This window comes from Homo sapiens, chromosome 16, assembly GCF_000001405.40.
Source record: "Homo sapiens chromosome 16, GRCh38.p14 Primary Assembly".
NCBI lineage: Eukaryota > Metazoa > Chordata > Mammalia > Primates > Hominidae > Homo > Homo sapiens.
Window position 1 is genome coordinate 18,486,487 of NC_000016.10, and position 22,546 is coordinate 18,509,032.

At 47.8% G+C, this 22,546-nt stretch overlaps 1 protein-coding gene, 1 long non-coding RNA gene and 2 other non-coding genes across 5 annotated transcripts in view; 1 reads left to right on the forward strand and 3 right to left on the reverse strand.

The window, feature by feature from the left end:
* Positions 1–1,814: 1,814 nt before the first annotated feature.
* On the reverse strand, positions 1,815–1,879 carry MIR3670-4 (microRNA 3670-4). Its single transcript, NR_128713.1, has one exon. It is a non-coding gene; the product is annotated as a microRNA 3670-4 (primary transcript).
* Positions 1,880–4,083: 2,204 nt separating this feature from the next.
* LOC105379460 (uncharacterized) lies at positions 4,084–12,289 on the forward strand. The gene is made up of 3 exons (XR_950879.3): positions 4,084–4,436; positions 5,194–5,273; positions 11,990–12,289. It is a non-coding gene; the product is annotated as an uncharacterized LOC105379460 (long non-coding RNA).
* MIR3179-4 (microRNA 3179-4) lies at positions 8,007–8,090 on the reverse strand. The gene has a single exon (NR_128709.1). It is a non-coding gene; the product is annotated as a microRNA 3179-4 (primary transcript).
* A 1,151-nt stretch (positions 12,290–13,440) lies between the features above and the next one.
* The window catches only part of NOMO2 (NODAL modulator 2), a 62,186-nt gene continuing 53,080 nt past the window's right edge, over positions 13,441–22,546 (reverse strand). Inside the window, exons 29-32 of one of the 2 annotated variants that reach the window (NM_001004060.2) lie at positions 20,387–20,506; positions 14,505–14,597; positions 13,954–14,081; positions 13,441–13,622 (exon numbers count right to left, since the gene is read on the reverse strand). In NM_001004060.2, coding sequence (NP_001004060.1) covers positions 13,484–13,622; positions 13,954–14,081; positions 14,505–14,597; positions 20,387–20,506 — 480 coding nt within the window. In that variant the 3' untranslated portion in view covers positions 13,441–13,483. Of the gene's footprint in view, positions 14,082–14,504; positions 14,598–20,386; positions 20,507–22,546 lie in introns of both variants that reach the window. The other variant, NM_173614.4, reaches the window with a different exon arrangement.

The following is a 22,546-nucleotide window of genomic DNA, read 5'->3' on the forward strand; positions in this document are numbered from 1 at the left end:
GAATTCAAGTTTCCTGAAGCCCAGTTGCATCCCTGCCCTGCCCTGGGCTCTGAGAGACAGTTGCCGAAGCTAGTGTTAAAGTGAACTAAATATGGCCTGAGTGGGACTTCGTACTTCTATAGTTGAGTCCTTGTGGACAAATTGCAACCTAGCTTAATAGGTAGACAAGATTGAAAACCTAACTTAGGAGTATGCGCCTGTAACAATAGCTGAGTCTTGGCCAATCCCAGAGGCCGTAGTTCAACCGCTCATACGCTGCTGAGTGTTCAAACTGTACTCAAATAAGGCAAACGCCAACTTGTAACAATCCAGCCATTCTGTACTTCACTTCTGATTTCTGTACATCATTTCCCTTCTTTTGTCCATAAATCTTCTTCCACCACGTGGCTGCGCTGGAGTCTCTATGAATCTGCTGTGATTCTGGGGTCTGCCCAATTCGCGAATCATTCATTGCTCAATTAAACTACTTTAAATTTAATTCAGCTGAGATTTTCTTTTATCACTAATTTGAGCTGGTTTTCTAATGTTTGCAAATGGGAGGGCTGACTAATATAACACTGCTCCAAATATTAACGTCTTTCTCCCAACCCATCACCCAGGCAGAAGTGGTCCAGCCTGGGCAACCCTAGGAGGAGGCTAGCTCTCCTCTAGGAAGGCTTAGGATGCAGCCAGTGGGCAGTAACTGGCTCACTGTCCCCTGCAACTGAAATCAGAACTGGTTCCAGAAACCAAGTTGACCCCCAACCAGTCTTTCCCAAAATATGGCTCTATGCCCATCTCTGGTCAGGCTGGGCTGTTTTCCTGGACAGAGAAGTCTCAGACAAGCAGGCAGTGGTTAGTGGGCTGTGCCCAGGCTGAGAACATTTCCCAGAGAAGATGGCATCTCTGGCAGTCCCTTAAAGCCAGCAGAGGCCAAGTCATGTCCAAGAGGCCAAAAGGCCCAATATGGTGGAGACAGTATACAGTCCCCATGAATAAGGGATGCTGATGCCTTCCCTATGTACCAGGTAGTCACTGCCTGAGGGGCCCAGAGCAGCAGGAGGGCAGAGCCAGCCTGGGCAGGGGCACTGGGCCGGAAGTGGGGCTCACATCCTCAGCACACACACACACACACACACACACACACACACAAGCGAATGCACACACACACACACAAATGCACGCACACACAGATAGGTGCATTCAAACATCACATACACGTGTACATTCCTTGCAAAATCAACTTCTGCTGATAGCACAACAAACAATGGGGCCACAGTGTGGCATGGAGGAAACCCTGGAGTCTGATCTCATTTTTTTTTTTTTGCATCTGTCAGGGGATAAAGATATTTGATAAAAATCCTTGAGTCACATCCCCACCAGGTCCCTGCCTACCTGTAGACCCCATCAAGCCAGCTCCATGGCCCTTCAGATACCGCCTCACTGGGTCCCCAGGGATTGACCTCAGTCCTGGAAATGCAGAAATATCTGTATCTGTCACAGCTGAGACTGGCGGCCTTCCGCCGGCTTTCCTGGAGGCAGAGCTGGAGACAGGGACTTGGGTGGATGTGGTTTTTGTTTTTGTTTTGAAAGGGGCTTTCAGGAGAAGGGAGGTGAGGACTACAGGATGCAGAAGGGGACAGAGCAGAGTGAGAATGTGGTCCCTTAAAGTCCCGCCTTGACCTATCCCACGAGCAGCAGAGAGCACGCCACAGGATCGTCCCCACCGTGGGGCAGGGACCAGCCATTCACGTTGCTGTATCAGTTAGTCACTGGGCCATTACTGGGCATGGCATCCCATCCCAGGCAATGTGGCTCCCATCTGAGGGTGATTCTCTAGAGAAGGACAGCTGTGAGCTCTCAGCAGGTGAGGCTCCAAAAGCAGCTATACCAGTCTAGACCTCAGGGGAAGGGGGAATTCATCTCTAGGCAGGGATGATTTTCATAACATTGAACTCTTGACATGCAGGAGCACCGACCAATCAGAACAGACACGGTGACCAAACAGGCACAGCCACACCAGTGGATACCAGCGGAATGTCCACGCTGCCTCTGCGAAGGGACAGTCCCATGAGCCAAGCCCTAGACCAGCTGTTCTGGGAGCACTGCATCATTGCACTGAATTCTCACAACCGCCCCATAATGCTGGGACCATCCCCATTTTCTTGCCCAACAGCCTCCGTCTCATAGACACTAGGCGGCTCTCCCAGGGTCACACGGTCCAGTCAATAACGGGCAGAACTCGCACTCCGATCTGTCTGGCTCCAAAGCTGCTAAAAATTTTCTACTTGGCCTCACTGGCTTGACAAAGATAAAAAAGAAGGCAAGTCCTTCTTTCCAAGAGATGCTGAGGTCCCTCGGTGACACTAGGTCATGATTTTATCATGTTCAGAGGGCAATGAAAGGGACAGAAAACAAGCGATGTGTGATCTCCTGTCATGTCAAGAGACGCTGTTTTCAAAGAAACGTACGTTTCGCAGAATCAATACGCTGTGGGGCCTCAGAAAGCAGAGGCAGACACACGGCCCCAACCCGTGCACGTGAGAGCCCTGTTACAAGAGACGGCAGAAATTAAACTGAATCACCTGGAGCAAGTACATTGTAAATGTTCAATATTAATGACCCACCTCGGCCCCAAAGAAGAGAGCGTTGGGCTTTGTCCAGCTGTGTGCTCTGTTGTTAAAAGACCACCTTGTGGCCAGGCACGGTGGCTCACACCTGTAATCCCAGCGCTTTGGGAGGCCAAAGCAGGTGGATCACCTGCGGTCAGGAGTTCGAGACCAGCCTGGTCAACATAGTGAAACCCCGTCGCTACTAAAAATACAAAAATTTGCTGGATGTGGTGGCTGGCGCCTGTAATCCTAGCTACTCGGGAGGTTGAGGCAGGAGAATCGCTTGAACCTGGGAGGCGGAGGTTGCAGTGAGCCAAGATCACGCCATTGCACTCCAGCCTGGGCGACAAGACTGAAACTCCGTCTCAAAAACAAACAAACAAACAAACAACAACAGAAAACAATTTGTGCCTTAATGGGCATTCCTTTCCCTTCTTGCTAAGGGATGAGATGATGGCAGAACTTGTGGCCACTGTCCTGGAGGTTGACAAGCTTTTTCTGTAAAGTGCTAGATAATAAATATTTTGTGGGCCACACGATCTCTGGTGCAACTACTCAACACTGCCATTGTCATGCAAATGTAGCCATAGATGATAATAAATGAATGGGTGTGACTGTGTTCCAATAAAACTTTATTTATAAAACAGACAGCTGGCCAGAGTTGGGCAATGGGCAGTAGTTTGCCCCCCACTCCCCGCCCATCCGTCCTATTCCTTGGCTTTTTTGGGTACATCAAGGAGTGCAGTCTGGATGCTGGGCTATTTTATGGCCACTGGGCATAACCTTAACCTGGGCCTTTTGTCTGTTAACCTGGGTCAGTGGCTACGGTGAAGGTCGGGCAACCAAGGTTTAGATGGCTCAGTACACATTCACGCCCACAAACCAAACCAGGAAAAAGATGTGCTAAGTTGAGCATATGACACTGTTGGTACTCAAATGGTTTGTTTTTTTTTTTAAATAAATGTTTAAGTAAATTTTTTATTTTAGAACAGTTTTAGAAAAATGGTGAAAGCAGTACAGAGAGTTTCCATGTACCCCATAGCTTGATGCATTATGAACTAAAGTCCATACTTTTTTTAGGGGGGTGGGGACAGGGTCTTGCTCGTCACCTAGGCTGGAGTGTGGTGGTGTGATCATAGTTCATGGCAGCCTCAACCCTCCACCTCCCCTGGCTCAAGCGATCCTCCATCTCAGCCTCCCAAGTAGCTGGAAATACAGGTGCCTGCTACCATCCCCAGAGAATTTGTTTTTGTTTGTTTGTTTGTTGTTTGTTTGTTGAGACAGGGTCTCACTCTCATTGCCCATGCTGGTATACAGTGGCACAATCACGGGTCACTTGCAGCCTTGACTTCCCGGACTCAAGTGATCCTCCCATCTCAGCCTCCCGAGTAGCTAGGACTACAGGTGCACACCACAAGCCTGGCTAATTTTTTGTATTTTTTGTAGAGATGGGGTTTCGCCATGTCGCCCAGGCTGGTCTTGAACTCCTGGGCTCAACCCATCCGCCGGCCTCGGCCTCACAAAGTGCTAGGGTTACAGGCGCGAGCCACCGTGCCTGGCCACCTAAAGTCCATAGTTGATTCTGATTGCCTTAGTTTTTGCTTAATGTCCTTTTTCTGTTCCAGGATACCACATGGAGCATTTTGAGGAGTGCTGGCCAGGTATTTTGTAGAATGTTCCTCAACTGGGATTTGGCAGATGCTTCTCATCCTTAGTCTTGGCTTGTGTGTGTTTTGAGGAGGAGGACCACAGAGCTTAAGAATCATTCTCAGCACTCTGTATCAGGCACGCATTCTCTCAAGATGACTTGCCGCTATTGAAGTTGACTTTGATCACCTGGCTGAGGTAGTCTGTCCGTGTTCTCCACTGTAAAGTTACTCTCTCCTCTCTTTTCACACTGTACTCTTTGGAAGAGAGTCACTATGCACAGCCCACACTTAGGATGTGGGAAGTCCGCTCCACCTCCTTGACGATGGAATAGCTATATAAATTACCTGGGGCCGGGCACGGTGGCTCACACCTGTCATCCCAGCACTTGAATGGGAGGCCGAGGAGGGTGATCACTTGAGGTCAGGAGTTTGAGACCAACCTGGTCAACATGGTGAAACCCCGCCTCTACTAAAAATACAAAAAATTAGCCGAGTGTGGCAGCGCATGCCTGTGATCCCAGCTACTCGGGAGGCTGAGGCACAAGAATCGCTTGAACCTGGGAGGTGGAGGTTGCAGTAAGCCAAGATTACATCACTGCACTCCAACCTGGGCAACAGAGCAAGACCCTGTGTAAAAAAAAAAAATTAAATAAAAATAAATAAATAATCTGGAATTCTTCTGCCTGGGAGATTTGTCTCTTCTCTCTTATCTGATCATTTATAGCAGTATGGAATCATGGGTATTTATTCTTTGAATTCTAATCCAATAGTACTTTTTTGGGGCTCAAATTGTTCTGGCTTTGACCCCTGGGAGCTTTTCCACTGGCTCCTGTGTCCCTCTGAGATGCCCCATCACTGCAGCAGTTTCATTTTGTTTCATTTAGCGCCTCCTCACCCTGTGACCCTACAAGATGCTTCAGGTTCTTCTTATCTATTTCCTCCCTCGGTCCTAGGATCGACATTTGTTCAAGAAGCCTGGTTCCTTTTACTGGAGAATGGTGTTTATTGGAGAACAGAGACCTGGGCACCAGAGGTTTGTTGCTACTGGGGTATCCTTGCTTCTAGGCTCTCTTCGCTGACAGCCAGGATTAGTAATGTGTGTCTTACTAATTTGTGTATATGCACATATCCATAAATATTTCTCTATGTAGCCATCTGTATCTATATTGAGCTAAACATGTGTTCATACTGATGCCTGCCACTCTAATCCACTGCCACATGGATCACTCTAGCCTTGCCTCCTTTGCCGACCTGTAAACCTCCCGCCCCCCACCCCATCTATTACTTAATGAATTTCAGTAAGCATGTGAGGTGGGTGGTTATGGAAACCATTTTTGACCTATATATAAGATGACAGTTTCGTCTGATTTCTCCTAAATAGAAGACGAGTGTGAAATGGTAACATGGTGTCCGTAGGAGTCATATGGATGGACCATGGCCAACCATATTATTAAGGAATATTCATGCATTCATCCATCCATCCATCCATCCATCCATCCATCCATTCATTCACCAGTGAATGAGTAAAGCATTAGGTATTCACCACACTGTCCTCTCCTGGACTTCCCCCTACCTCACGGGCCACTTCCTCTCTGTCTCTTGGGCAGGGCCCTCCTCGCCCATCCTCTGAAGGTTGCACTGTCCCAGGGCTTGGCCCCCAGCCCTCTCCTTTTCTCAGTCTTCATAAGGATACCTATTATTCAATCCCGTGGCCTCATCTGTCATCCAAAAACACTCCCAGCTCACCACGTCTCATCTCCAGCCGTGATTTCTCACCCAGGCTGCAGACTCGGGTGTCTGATAAGCATCTCAAACTCACGATGGCCAAAACAGAAGTCTCAATTTACCTACACATTTCAGTGGTTCAGCTAGAAACAAACGATTCACTTATCGTTGATTCCTCCCTTCCCTCACCTCCTGTATTAAATACATCAGCAAGACCTTTCTGCTCTATCTCTGAAGCATAGCCCCAAGCTCACCACTTCCTGCCACTGTTACTTCCATCACCCCAATCCAAGCCATTGCTGTCTTTTGCCTAAACCAACACAACGTCCTCTTTGCTTCTCTCCCTAAATTCATTCTTGCTTCCCAATAATCCAATCTCCTCAAAATTTAAAGAAGCAATTGTTTAAAAACATACATCAGATCACTCCCCTTTCCCTACTTAAACCCTCCAATGCCTTCTGTTGCCATTAGAATAAAATCTAAACTCCTTTCCAGGGCACCCACATGACCCGGTCCCTGCCATCGTTCTCATCTCTTCCTCTCAATCACTTGACTCTGGCCACCCTGGCCTCTTTGCTATTCCTGAAACTCAGGGAGCTCATTTCCTCCTGGGGGCCTTTGCAATTATGGTCCCCTCTGCCTGGGCAGCTCTTCCCCCAGATCTTTGCATAACTGGCCCTTCCCCTCCTCAGGTCTCAGCTCAGATGCTGCCTCCTCAGAGAGACCTTCCATGATACCAATCATCCTCTGTCACATTGCCTTGTTCTGCTTCTTTTCTTCGTAACGCCTGGCATTATCCAACAACTTCTAATGTGTGTGTTTACCTTTCGTCCTCCATCAGCACTGTGCTCCTAAGAGCTGAGGCTCGGTCTCTCTCACACCACTAAACCCCCAGTATGCCAAGCAGCACCCAGCACAGGGGAGATGCTCAGTTAATACTTGTTGAATGAATTAATGATGCTCCCCCTAAAACTAAACTTTACAAAGCACCCACTAGACAACAGGTTAGAAAACATTTTCTAGGCCAGGCGCAGTGGCTCACACCTGTAATCCCAGCACTTTGGGAGGCTGAGGCAGGCAGATCATCTGAGGTCGGGGTTTGAGACCAGCCTGGCCAACATGGTAAAGCCCTGTTTCTACTAAAAATGCAAAAATTAGCCAGGCTTGGTGGCAGGCGCCTATAATCCCAGCTACTAGGGAGGCTGAGGCACGATAATCATTTGAACCCAAGAGGCGGAGGTTGCAGTGAGCTGAGATCACACCACTGCACTCCAGCCTGGGTGACAGAGAAAGACCCCATCTCAAAAACAACAACAACAACAACAAAATGTCTTCTGTAAAGACCCAGATAGCAAGTATTTTAGGCTTTTTAGGCTACCTGGTCTTTGCCACAACTACTTACATCTGGCACTGTCAGGCAAAAGCAGCCATAATCTGCAAATGAATGGGCATGGCTGTGTGCTCATAACACTTTATTTATAAAACAAGAACAGTGGGCCATAGTTTGCTAACCCCTGCACTAGCCCAGTCTAAGTCTTGAATATCATCTGTGTAATTAATTCACAGTGAGGAGTTCTCCACTGTAATAATTACTCATTCCATGAATGCATGCCACTCAGGTGAGGCGTTCTTGAAACTCTGAGAGGCAAGAAGCAAAATGTTCTTTCTCCATACCCAGGCACACTCCAGTCTGTGAAAAGGAAGCAAGAGAGGCAGGCTGCAAGTTTGATCACTGGGTGGCTGCTAGCCACCTCTCCCCCTCAGCTCCAAGAGCAGAAACAGGATGAAAACGCAGCAGCTGCCGGCTTCTGTCCTCTTGCCAGCTGCCTCTCTTGCAAGACTAGACAGGGAGGGGCAGCCGCCAGTCTCCGGAGGCACAGACTGCACAGAATTGAGGATCACTTGTTCCAATGCATTCATCTTATCTTACAAAATCTTCAAATTCCAAAAAGCACACGTAAGAAGGGCTGCTGTTTCATTCACACAGTGAAATATTGTGCATCTGAAAGAATATGTAGATGGGTGGCATCTTCAACAACCCCAGGATCACAGACGTTTAAATTTCACCCCTTCTACTGCTGTAAGGCACAGCAGAAGGAGTGTAATTTAAACGTCTGTGATCCTGGCTGGGCGTGGTGACTCTTGCCTGTAATCCCAACACTTAGGGAGCCCAAGGTGGGAGGATTGCTTGAGCTCAGGAGTTCAAGACCAGCCTGGGCAACCTAGTGAGAGCTCATCTCTACAAAGATTTTTTTTAAAAAAATTAGCCAGGTGTGGTGGTGCACTCCTGTAGTCCCAGCTACTCAGCAGGCTGAGGCACGATGATCCCTTGACCCTGGGAGATCAAGGCTGCAGTGAGCTGTGATGGTGCCATTGTACTCCAGCCTGGGGAACAGAACAAGAACCCATCTAAAAAAAAAAAAAGAAAGAAAAGTTCATATTCCAACCAAGATCTCACCATTACATCATCAAGCATAAACACCTGCCCCCACTGAAAAAGTACAGAGGAAGGCAGTCATATAATATCTTCCCTCCTGACCTCACCAAGTTCCAGGGCAGGAAGAGTCTCGCCACCCCAGCACACAGTAGGCCCACTGGAAAATGAGTGCTCCCTTCTCTAGGCATTTCATTGTCATGGTCATAAAGTCAGGTTCATTTTTCTAATGAAAGAGAAAGCCAAAAATGGAGGCTGATTTTTTTCTTTTTTCTTTTTTTTTTTTTTTAGTCTCACTCTGTCGCCAGGCTAGAGTGCAATGGTGCGATCTCGGCTCACTGCAACCTCCGACTCCCTGGATCAAGTGATTCTCCTGTCAGCCTATCGAGTGGCTGGGACTACAGGCGCCCACCACCACACCTAGCTAATTTTTGTAGTTTTAGTAGAGACAGGGTTTCACCATATTGGCCAGGATGGTCTCGATCTCTTGACCTCATGATCTGCCCATCTCAACCTCCCAAAGTGCTGGGATTACAGGCATGAGCCACCACACCGGGCCTGGAGGGTGATTTTGACCAGGCCTTCTCAAGTTTTGGAAGGAAGTGGAGCTGACTTCTCTTCTGTTGCTTTTGCCCACCCAGGATCACTTATTCCTCTGGGTAATACAGCACCCCAGGCACAGGGGCCGCCTGTCACATGAGCGTGGGCATGGCTCATGTGCGGCCAGGCCCCAGTGATTCTGCAAAGGTTGCCCATAAGTCCTTCCCCCGCCCCAGGACTGGCATATTGATGTGGTGGGATGGAAGCTGTCCTTCTGCTGGGTCTGCAGATGGGGGCAATGTAAAGCCTGACATTGCCGGATGATGTCAGAAGCGGAACCCATAGGCAAAAGCCAGCTTTCCAGCACTCCACTCTCAGTTTCCTGCCATCTCCACTTCTGTGGATGTGTGCCCGGCATCTGCCTCTGCCCCTGCCTCTGAGAGCAGTGACTGAGCAAACAGTCCTGGACCTGGTTGAAAGGATGGGCCTGTCTGTTTCTAGCAGAGTGGTCTTTCAGAAAGCTGATTCCTGAAAGTTGGCATCAAGGGAAGCAGAGCCAGGAGGTGGAAATTGAGACTGGGTCCCGCTATGCATGAAGCCAGAGACTCTTGGATTTCTCCGTTACTTGACCAGAGGAATGCCCCATTTTGCTCAAGCTAGTTGGAGTTGGATTTCTGTTACTTGAAACCAAGAGAGCCTTAACTAATACACAACTAGAAATGCATCCATGGTCACTGCCCATTCATGTGACAGACATTTATTGAGCACTATTCCAGTTACCTAATGTTGCATGAGTTACCCCAAAACTTAGAGGCTTAATTCAGTCGTATAAGATATTCACAGATCCCGTGGGTCAAGAATTTGGGAAGACACTGTAGGTTGAACTTTGTTCTCTGCTTTGTCTTTCTTGGAAAGAGAGGACACAGCTTGAAGTCATTACTGATTTGGGACTGTATGTAATGCATATCTGTGCTTCATTGTCACTGTGTTTTTAAGTTTTCTAAACTTAAAACAGCTCATTTTCGGGGGACATAAAGAACCTGGGAAGAGCTCAGCTGGGCAGCACTGACCTGGGGTCTCTTGAGTGGTGGAAGTCAGATGTCATCTGCAGTTGCACTCACCAGAAGGCTTGACCGGGGCGGGGAAATTCACTTCCAAGCTGGCTCACTCACGTGGTGGCAAGCTGTACATGCTGGGGGCCAGGGGCCTCACCCCTCCCCACGAGGCTGCCTGAGCACCCTCACGCAAGGCAGTTGGCTTCCCGAGAGCCAAAGTGCAATGCCTGTTACGACCTAGCCCGAGAAGTCACACATCATCACTCACTTCCACCACTTCCCACTGGTCGCACAGAGCCAGCCTGATTCAGTGTGGGAGGGGACCACACACAAAGGCAGTGTGCATCCCTGGGGGCCATCCTGAGGCTGGCTGTGTACCACAAACACCCGCCACATGCCAGGGACTGGACACACAGCCTTTGACCCCCACTGAACATCAGCCTAAACAGAAGGCAACCAAGCAAACCTTATCCCCCAAACTCTTTCCAACTCCTCCCTTAGGACGGCCCCTGCTTTTAAGTAAAGGGAATCGTGCCGAATAATTGTTCCTATTAAGGAACTAGATCTCAGGGTTTGGTCATGCAGCTCTTTGGTTACAGAAACAACGCTGATGAAATAATCGAAGGTCCTCCACCATTCTCACCCCCAGCCATGACCCCGTCCACTGCACACAGTGCTCCACGTCACTGTGCCTTTCCTAACTTTACTACAGCTTATACCTGCCTCTCCTGTACAACATCCACGTGACATCCATCTCTAAACCTCTGAGTCATCCCTAGACAAGCTGGCATGTGACTACATCATCTCATTTCATACATCAAGGGCAGGAAAACATGGTGGTTAAGAACTCTTGGACCTGGGTTCAAACCCCTGCTCTGCCACTTGACAGCTGCAAGATTGTTCAGCCTCAGTTTCTTTCTCTGAAAAATGGGGCTGGAAGCATACCTACTTCATGAACTCATGAAGCATCCACATGCATGCAAGGGCACGGCACAGCGCCCGGCACACAGTAGCTCAAGAAAGGCTGGTTGTGCCTGCTGGTGTGCTTGATCCAGAGAGGCAATCACTCATTTGCTTTTTCCTTATTTCCTGAATCTTTGTTTCTCACATTTAGGCCATTAGAGTTAAGCAGAAGGACTGCCTCTTCCTCCAGCCATCTCACCAGTCCTTCCACATACACATGCACAAACACACACACACACACACAAACACACACACACACACGTTCTCATGCTACCTTCGGCCCTTCCCATCTCCTGTAACCCCAGAAAAGAAGACCGAGTTGAAGCCGTTGCCTTAGAATGGCACTGCCCTGGCCAGGTGTGGTGACTCATGCCTATAATCTCAGCACTTTGGGAGGTTGAGGCAGAAGGATCACTTAAGGCCAAGAGTTCAAGACCAGCCTGGTCAACATAGCCGAGACCCTGTCTCTACAGAAAAATCAAATCAAATAAAAAGCTTTTAATTAAAAAAGAATGGCACCGTCCTAAAGCTCCTGAGGTGTCCTCATCAAGGATTTATGGTTGTTTTTACGGCCACTTTAATAGGCAGAAATGTGCACAGAGCAGAGTTCCCCAAGAATCTGCCATCTTAGACCATTTTGTTTTTTAAATACCTCAGCAAACAAGTCTGTCTCATATGACTTTTGTCCCATTCCAAGTCTAATAACAGCCCGGGTGCGGTGGCTCACGCCTGTAATCCCAGCACTTTGGGAGGCCAAGGTTGATGAATCACCTGAGGTAGGGAGTTCAAGACCAGCCTGGACAACATGGTGAAACCCCGTATCTACTAAAAATACAAAAAATTAGGCGAGCGTGGTGGTGGGCACCTGTAATCCCAGCTACTCGGGAGGCTGAGGCAGGAAATCGCTTGAAACCGGGAGGCAGAGGTTGCAGTGAGCCGAGATCACGCCACTGCACTCCAGCCTGGGCCACAAGAGCGAAACTCAAAAAAAAAAAAAAAGAATCTAATAACATTAATGTTTACTTCTCACAGGAGGATCAGAGGACTTCTGTCCTGAGATTGCCAGAAAAATGATGAACAGAAAATTATACACAACCGAACAGGCCCAACTTTCAAATGGACTGAGAATGACCCACACAAGTTCCACCGAGGCCAAGGGTGACCTGCAGCCAGCGACAGGGAAAGACTGCCACTTACTGGCGGCCTCCGGAACTGGAAGGAGTGTACTGACAATTGTATCTTTCGCAAGCTCTTAACCTTTATACCGTCAATAAAAACCCCATTAACATTTAAAAGGGATGTTTCTGGGTGTCCACTTGGAATAAGAGTTGGAAAACACTCCAAGAAATGGATCCTGTATTAATATCACATCTGTCCCAGATCTCCAACACTGTTCACTTTCCTTCCACGGTGCCAACACCAAGCTAGCTGATAGGTGGGAACAGGGCAGCTCTGCGGTTGGCCCCCAAGAGCCAGGGAGTCCCCCAAGCTGACCCCCTGGGGTGGCAGTGGCACCTAACAAGAACTTCCACCTTGTTTTCCCTCTCTCTGTTTTGTCCTTTTGGACTCTGCTCACGCATCACATCCAGAAAGTTCCCTAAGCTCTCCAGTGGGATGAGAACTCTGCTCTGTGCTCCTGTGGTCCTCCATGTTCCTCCACCTGGAGGCCCTCGGCTCCCTGCATTACCCCTGTCTACTTACTGACTTGCCTTCTACCCAGTGATGGGCCATGTGCTGTGAGGGCACACACTGTGTGCCCATCTATTCATTCCTCTGTGCGTGCGTTCATTCATTCCTTACTGAATGCCCACCAAGTGCCAAGCATTGGGGTACGAAGAACAAGGCAGACGGGGCCTCCCTGGCCTCTTCCAGCTCGCTGTAGAGTGTTGTCTACCCTACTCATCCTCACATACCCATGCCTGTCCTATGTGGCACTCAATAAATGTCGGATGGATGGATGTGTCCCCTCCTTCAATATCACTTAATTCACTTGATGACTTCCTGTGAGGATTAAGTTTAGCTGTTAAAATGCTGTGACTTCCTCTGGATCTCTGATGCAAGCCGGCAACGTTTAAGCCTCACCCGGCCGACGTAGGCATTTTGTTTGGCCAAAGTGTGTGGTTTTCTTAAAAAAACACTGCATTTGTGGCTAACATTTAAAATTGGGAAAATTTCACGTAAATCTTTGTTTTTCTGGCTTCTCTAGAAAAATGAACGCACATTTCTGCACAGCAGGGGTGAGCCAGAGCTGAGTCCCTAAGCTTCCCTTAGACGTGGTGGGCACACTTCAACTTGCCACAACCTCCACTATCTCCGATTTCTCTATCACTGACGCCAAAAGCTGCTGGGGACCATGTTGGCTGAGCTCGTGTTTTTCCTGCCCCAGCCAGCTTCACTCAGGACTCTGACTTGCTCTACATTTGGCTCAACTGAAGACTCCCGGGGGTTACGTGCATGTCATCCAAGAAATACATCTATGATGAGCTACAACACAAATGAATGGGCCATTTTATTGATTTTTACCTCCTAATAGTGGATACAGGTTGCCGTGGTTTCCAGCAGGATCTCAGATGCAAAGGGAAGTGAAGAAAACAGATGAATCCCTAGGGTACCCCGCCATGGAACCAAACACCACATCAACTGGAACTCTTCTTGCAAACGAAGGCTGAAGATCAAGAATGACATTCTCACACCACAGCACAGCTTAAATACTTCTTTGACAAAAATAATAATAAATTATATTTGACTCAGAAAATAAATTCTGTTCAGCAGAGTGACAGGAGGGTCCATTCATTGCATTGCACGAGGGGCTCTACGGAGGGGTGAGGATGGGTGCAGGATGCCACAGTGACAAGGGACATGGGGTGCGGGCCCAGCAGCACAGGCTGAAGTTAGCTGACGCATGCTTTTGGCTTTTATCCCACGGGCGGGTAGTGGCCGGACCCCTGGCTGTGGCCTGTCCCAAGTGAGACTGCAACTGTCCCCTTCCTCCTCACGTCCGCCTTGTCTTCTGTTTCTTGGCTTGTCTCTTTGCATCTTCTGGGCCGCTATTGTCAGAGGCTGCCTGGCCGAGCGCGCCGACTCCCTGTAGCCGGCTTGTCAACTGCAGCAGCAAAGGAATGAGCTAGAAAAGAGAGAAAGTGTGAGAGAGAGGGGTACAAAGAGGAGGCTTTTGCCAGATGAACAGCGGAGCCTCACTTCTCAACACACCTTCTTCAGACATGATCAGCAGCTGCCACGTGCTAATGGGTGGGTTTCAGTTCAAACGAGGCAGGCCTCTTACTAATGAGTCCCCAGGGATGGGCTGGCCTCTCTCCGGGCCTAATATGTCCCTAGAGGTGTTCCAGGTTTAAGGATTAGGAGATGTTACAGAAGTTTACAGCCTTGAAAGGAGACCTAAGTCTGGACTTGAGGCCTTCACGGGCCCTCCCGACCCGGAAATGTGATTTCTGTGACCCTGGACATCCCTCTGCTATCACTCCTGCAGCTGTGAGGACTCGCTCTCCCTGACATGCCCGCCATCTCCTGAGGCCTCTGGATTTCCTACCTTGTCATGGTTGTAACCGGCCAGCAGAACCAGCAGCGTCAATGGCAGGGCAATGTAGGATCCTTGTGCGATGTCCTGTTCAGGCAGCTTCCTCTGCAAACACCGAGAGCCCCATCACTCCTCACCAAGGCCACAAGCTTGTCCATCATCCACAATGCCACAGCCACCACCCACCCAGCCTTCCAAAGTGGCCACTTGAGGACACCCAGGGGCCCTCATGATCCAAATTCCTTCTATCCAAAGGAAGGAACCAAAGTGATTTGGATGTATTTTCCCATGAATCCTCTTCTGCCCAAAGCTTCACTATTTGCTTCTGAAACTCAGGGACAAAGAGATTCCAATGACAAGGCATTCCTCAGCCTCTGGACCCTCCTCCCAACTGAGGAAATGAAGAGATGCAGCTATCAGAGAGTCTTGGTGGTTGAAAAGCAACTGGGTCTCAGTTTGTTGAGTCCCAGCAACATGCAGGGACTTAGTCCTACAAGGATGTATCAAGAACCTACAGTTCTAGACCCAGGGCACACAGTGATGGGCAGCTATTCCCAGCCAGTACGGTCTAGTGAGGAAGCAAAGCAGGCACTGCTACTAGCATCCCTGTGGCCATTCTCCCTTTCTCCCAATAGAACCCCCAACTTTTATCTGGGCCACCGACAATATAGATCACCTTTTCCAGCCTTCCCTGCAGCAGGCGCAGCCCTGGAACTAAATTTTGGCCAATGGTACAGGAACAGAAGCGGTAAGTGCCACACCCTGGCTGGACCCTAGGGAAGTGGTGTGCCCTCCCTTTTGCTGGGTAGACAGCATTTGGCCAATTGCCCCATTTTGGAGAAAAGCAATGCACTGGAACAGCACAATGAGACAGAAGGGGCCTGGGTCCCCTGACGCCTTGGAGCTACCAGACTATCTCTGCACTGGTCACTCCTGGACACTTGACATGAGACAGACATTTCCATCTTGCTAAAGCCCCTGAAATGCTGGGTTCTAAAGCATCAAGTGAACCTATATCCCATTGGCCCACTCTACTCTCATAAAGGAAGCAAATAAATGGAAGGAGAACTTCCCAATAATGATAAAAACAAGTTAATGAGCCAGAGCAGTGTTCTCAGTGTAGGATACCGGGACTCCTCTCGCAGAGGTTCCCGAGGCCACAGCTATTTTCAGCCAATAGTAAGATGTGATGTGCCTTTTCCGCCCTCTTTCATTCGCAAGCACACAGTGGACTTTTCCAGAGACTACGCACCCTGATGTCATCACGCCCACAGCTAACGGAATGTGTAGCTTGTGAGTTCTTGCGTTTTCAACATCTCGGTTTTAATTACTAATATGATAAATATACACAGAGATAATCCATGCAAACTCAAACTCTTTAAAATCCTCAATAATTTTTAACAGTATAAAGGGGTCCTGCAACCAACCCATCCGAGAACTGCTGGGCTAGAGAGTGACTGTGGGGGCCGCTGTACCTGGGATGCCCTTTCATAAATGAAAGAATAAGGGCAGGAACAGATTTCCATCAACAACTGCCTACTCCTGTATCTCTGGACATCTCTTAGAACCCAACCCATTTTTCCACTGAAGTAAACACTTACTTAAAAGTTTAATTCAGGCCAGGTGCAGTGGCTCACGCCTGTAATCCCAGCACTTTGGGAGGCTGAGGTGGGCAGATCACCTGAGGTCAGGAGTTTGAGAACAGCCTGGCCAGCATGGTGAAACCCCGTCTCTATAAAAATACAAAATTAGCCAGAAGTGGTGGTGCATGCCTGTAATTCCAGCTACTCAGGAGGTGAGAATCACTTGAACCCGGGAGGCAGAGGTTGCAGTGGGCCAAGATCGTGCCACTGCACTCCAGCAGGGGCAACAAAGCAAGACTCTGTCTCAGAAAAAAATAATAATGAATAAATAAATAAAAGTTTAATTCAGCAGGAATTAAGAGTGATTCAGTCTAGGCTCAGGTCCCAGGCCTCACTGGGTAAACTCAGGCAACCACGTTGAGACTCAGTTTACTCAACTATGACATGGAGATCATATGAACAACACCCACTGGGGGTGGATGCTGTGAAACTTGATGAAAGGAGTATGTGAAATGCTCAGCAGGGCATGGAATACTGAGTAAAATCCAGTCGCGAGGCTGTGGGCAGTCACATCAACAAAGAAGGAAACCAATGTGCTTACAAAGCCCCCGTGAACATGCAATGCTGAGCCACTCATCACGCGGAGGGCAGAACGAGGTGGAAACCATGTGGCTTGAGACAAACTGCCTCACTTGAGTCCTGGTTCTGCTAACACTCAGTAAGTGACTCAATCTTTCTGGGCTTCTGTGAAAATGGGAGGAATGGCACACCTGCTTGAAGGCTTGTTGTGAGGATCAACCTGTGAGGGCCCTGTACGGGGTGGCACAGAGTGGGCGCTCTCTTCATTCAACACTTGGCCCTGCTCGGGAATCCAAGCCCCAGCAGGCACAGCTTTTTTTTTTTTTTTTAATTATACTTTAAGTTTTAGGATATATGTGCACAATGTGCAGGTTAGTTACATAGGTATACAGGAAGGGGAACATCACACACCAGGGCACAGTTTCTTACATTCTCAGAAGTGACAGGCAGCAGCTACGAGGCTGGGCTGCTCGGCCACCACCAAGCAGTGTCTCCACATTCCTGCCACTGGCTCCCAGGTGTGTCCCTGAGCCCGGATGAGTTGTCTGCTAGGGGCCCCTGAGAATGTCACTGCCTGCAGCTATCAACGGCCTTCACAGAAGCCTCTCCCAGCAACTGGGCCACAATGCAGCCCCAAGCAAAGGTAAGTGGTTCTTGTATATGCTTATCTTTCTGGCACTTTCTTTTTTTTTTTTTTTTTTGAGACAGTCTTGCTCTGTCGCCCAGGCTGGAGTGCACTGGGGCTATCTTAGCTCACTACAAACTCTGCATCCCAGGTTCACAATTCTCCTGCCACAGCCTCTCGAGTAGCTGGGATTACAGGTGCGTGCTACCACGCCTGGCTAATGTTTGTATTGTTAGCAGAGATGGGGTTTCACTTTCACCACATTGCCCAGGCTGGTCTCGAACTCCTGACCTCAAATGATCTGCCCACCTCAGCCTCCTAAAATGCTGGGATTACAGGCGTGAGCCACCACACCTAGCCCTCTCCAGCACTTTCTAACCAGGTCTCTACTGTGAGTAACAAGGAAGTGTTTCCTCGTGGGTCATGAGAAAAACTCTCTTGTTCAGGTAAGATCATATTTACAGGCTCACTGAGCATGAATCACTCTTCACAGAAGCCCAGAATCAGCAGCAGAGCTCTGCTCAAGCCCTAGCACTGCTCCACGTGAGCTGGTGACCTTGGGCTGCTCACATCTCCTTCTAGGTTCCCATCTTCTCATCTCTAAATGAAAGGTAATTCCTGTCCACCTTCCATGCAGGATGGCGTTTGAAAAGCATGAAATGGTAACTGGATAGCATGTGGAAAAAGACAATCTGGAGCCATACTTCACATCTATACCAGGAAAAACTCCAAATGGATAGAGAGATTTAAATGTAAAAACAGAAACTATAAAAGTCTGCCTGAAAAAAACACGATAAATTCCTGTAAAAGCTGGGAATGAAGAAAACCTTCCTATGACTCTAAAATCCAGAAGCAATAAGAAAAAATCAACACATTTAACACAGAAATAAAGTAAATCTTTGCAGAAACCAAGTGAAAAGATAAATGACAAATTGGGAAAAATATGTACAACAAACATTACAAAGGGTTAATATTCCTAGTATACAAAGAGCTGAAAATGGTTGAAAAAGACCAAAAATTCTATAGAAAAATAGGTTAAATAGTTCACAGAAAATACAAATGGCTCTTAACCACATGAAAAGAGAGAAATGCAATTAGAAGTACAGTGAGATAATATCACTTCTCATCTATAAGCCTGCAAAAATTGAAAAATTTGACAAAATACTCTGTTGGGGAAAAAAGGGTACTCATTCACTGCTGGCGGGAATATAAAACAGTAAAACCCCCATGGATGGGAAATGGCCGTATCAATCAAAATTCCGTATGCATTTACCCTTTGACTCAGCAATTCCACTTCTGGGAGTCTATTCCAAAGAGAGACTGACGAACACTCAAAAACATGCATGCGTAAGGCAATTCATTAAAGGGTTATGTGTAATAGCAGAAAACCAGTAACAACACAAACGCCCCTCAACCAGGGGCTAACTGAATATCCTACATGTAGTGCCAGGATCTGAATGTGTCTGTGCCTACGTAATTCATAGGTTGAACCCTAATCCATAATGTGATAGTGTCAAGAGGACACCCTTTTTAGGAGGTGATTAAGTCAGGGATTAATGCCCCGTAAGAGTGGCCTGAGGGAACTTGTTTGCCCCTTTCCGCCTTGTGGGGACACAGCTAGGTGGCACCATCTATGAAGCAGACAGCAAGTCCTCGCCAGACCCCAAATCTGCCAATGCCTTGATCTTGGACTTCCCAGCCTCTAGTACTGTAAGAAATAAATGTTTGTTGTTTATAAGTTACCCAGTCTAAGATACAAAATAGCAGCCCAAATGGCCTAAGACACACGGTATATCCACACAGAGGAATGCTGTGTCGTTATCAAAAAAGGAAAAAGGAGGATCGGAGGATATTGTTCCACTTACAGTTACATCTTTTGAAAACAATAAAGTTCTTATTCTGCCCACTGAAAAGGCCTAGAAGCAACAACCAACACAGTAGCTATGAGGCCAGATTTTTGTTTTTAATGCAGACTCCTGTGCTACACTTTCACCCCGTCAAGTTCAGAATCAGCAGTCCTGAGGCTGAGCCCTGGACTCTGTTTTTGCTATTGCTGATGTGTCTGTTTAATCATCAGGTGACAATACTGCATCTGAGCTTTAGGAATCACTAAACAATTTTATCAAGAAGGTAAAAGATACGTGTATGTTTTGTTTGTTCCACTGTTCCAGCCTATCGGATACAGGACAGACCGTATGCAACAGATACACATATTGCAAATAGTAAGGGCCACATATTGCAATGAATTAAGCGATAAGTTAAGTTTCTTTTAACCCACAGGTATTCTGTCCATCTGTTGTTGGTTTTTTTTTCCTTGCAATTTATTTGTCAAACAAATCAGGCTCCAGGTGGTTGTCCTGCATCCCTGTGGAGTCATTTGCGTGCTCCTGGGTCCTCCCTATTTCCTGTAAAGTAGCAGTTGGTTCTAGGGGTTTGCGTGGCCATGTACCATGTGCTCCCTCATGGAGAAGCACACGCCACACCAGCGATAGTGGTGTCCCTCCTCCCCCAAAATCATTCCTGAGCCACCGATCTAAACAATTACACTGCTCTTATTACCAGTTTCCTCCTCAAAGGGAATCGCAGGCATCAGTGCTCAGAAAAGCTAAAAACAATCTGGGGAAGCCCAGAATCCAGAAGGCAGAATGAGAAAGTGACCCAATGCCAGGAGCCCTTTAAATATCTGCCCTGCAACCTGCGACCTGGAGCACAGGTTGTATGGACATGCCTTCTTTCGCCACCCCATGGATTGTTTTGTTTTGTTTTGTTTTGTTTTGTTTTGTTTCTTCTGGAGAAAGGGTCTCACTCTGTTACCCAAGCTGGAGTGCAGGGGCATGATCATGGCTCATCGAGGCCTCAACCTCCCAGGCTCAAGTGATCCTCCCACCTCAGCCTCCTGAGTAGCCGGGACTATAGGTGCGTTCCACCACGCCCGGTTAATTTTTGTATTTTTTGTAGAGTTGGGGTTTTACCGTATTGCCTAGGCTGGTCTGAAACTCCCGGGCTCAAGAGATCCACCAGCCTTGGCCTCCCAAAGTGCTGGGATTACAGGCGTGAGCCACCAAACCCAGCCCATGGATTTTTTTTTAACTCCCTCTTTTACTTACCGTGGGATTAAAAATCAAGGTGATGTGTTTATGGTAGCCCACTGCGGTGAAAGAAACTTGAGGCAAGATGTAGTCATACTGGGATCTGGGGAGTGTGGAGTCCAGAAGCACAACATAGTTCTGTGCACACATGGGAAGAAGTTATTTTTATAAGGACAGCTCTGGCAAAGCAAATGAAAACTAAAACCTAACGTATGGCTGTGATGTAAAGAACTTTATGTTTTTAAAGAAATCCCCAAGACTACACATCCAAACCAAGGTTGCTGCCTTCAAAGTATCAACCTCAGCGGGCTATTCCATCAGTGGCGGGCATGTGTCCCCAGTGTCTCTGAGACTGTGGCTTCTGATAAGGCTGTCAGAGCCTGCAGCCTTTTTATGAGTACCCAACCTTGACAATTACGGTCCTCTGAGGATCTGACTTTATGAAACACAAAAAATTATTATGAGCCAATTCTGATGAGGGAGGTACGTGATACAACTGAGGATCCACAACGGGGCTGACTTCTAAGGGACGATGCTTGAGAGGCTCGTAAGCTGGCAAATCCTAAAAATACAGCATCCCTGGAACGGCACCAGGGGCAGCCACAGCTCTGTGTGCTGAGCACCGACCAGCTGCCAGGCACCATGCACATTGCATGAGGCCCGCGGCTGCTTTGCTTTCTACCACTGGCAAGGTCGGGATCATCACCCCGTCTTATAGACGAGGAAAGTCAAGCACGAAGAGACTAAGAGTAACTTGCCCAAGGTCACTCAGCTAAGAAGGCTGCCACACATCTATGAAGGCTCTGAACTCAGGGGAAGTGTGACCCCAAAGCCCAAGATGTTTCCGCATCGCTGTAGGAAGTGACTATTTCAACACCCCTGGAGAAAGAGGAGGAGAAAATTCCGTGACAGCCTGTTTCATTATTTCGCAGCCATTTTCCACAGAGAAAGGCCAGAGTAGATCATCTTCACGGCAGGTGGTAAGGAGCCAGGAGAGGAAACGTCACCCTCTAGGCTCACACTTGACATCCTCAGGCTAAGACCACCAGAAAAGAACCAAATTCTTTGCAAAGTTTGCACTCCCCACACCAACTACAAGTTAGCTCTGTCCAAATAGAATTGATAATAAGCACTTTATAATCAGTAAATGACGGCCAGAATAATGGCTGAAAACTTCCCAGTTCCAAGGAGGGAGACATCCAGATTCATGGAACCCAAAGGACACTGAAAAGGTGGAGCTGCAAGTGTTCTACACGACACACGTTATAATCAGATTATCAAAGACAGAGAGAACGTTCAAAGCAGCAAGAGAAAAGCAACTCATCTCATTCAAGGGATCCCCCATCATGAGGAAACTGTATTTCCCTAAACTCAATAGCAGAATGTTAAAATAGAGGAATTTTTAAAAATTACAAGGCATTTTTAAAAGTGGACTTCTTAGCAGGAAAGCATGGGGTGATATGTTCAAAGTGCAAGAGTCGATCATGCCCAACAGTAGGCCTTGGTTAAATAAATCATCGCGTTTCCTAGTTTATGGACTACTGTCCATAAAAATCATAGTATGAAAGATTTGGCCAGGCACGGGGGCTCACGCCTGTAATCTCAGCACTTTGGGAGGCCGAGGCAGGTGGATCACGAGGTCAGGAGATCAAGACCATCCTGGCTAACATGGTGAAACCCCGTCTCTACTAAAAATACACAAAAAAAAAAATTAGCCGGGTGTGGTGGCGCACGCCTGTAGTCCCAGCTACTTCGGAGGCTGAGGCAGGAGAATGGTGTGAACCCAGGAGGCGGAGCTTGCAGTGAGCCCAGATTGCGCCACTGCACTCCAGCCTGGGCGACAAGGCGAGACTCCGTCTCAAAAAAAAAAAAAAAAGAAAGATTTGATGATGAGGAACAGATTTGTGATAAATTCTTCATTGAAAAGCATGGATTACAAAACAATGTACAAAACAGTGTCAGTTTTGAATTATTAAAATAAATGTCTATTTATATTTATACATGCATGCGCACACGTGCCTGAAAAAAGACCCAAAGGATACCAATCACCATGTTAGCAGTGGCTATTTCTGGATGATGGGCTTATGTCTTCTTTTTCCCAAAATCTCCTGCCATGAATATGTATTCTTTTTGTAAACAGAAAAACAATGAAGAAAAAATAATCCCTACAGAACCCAA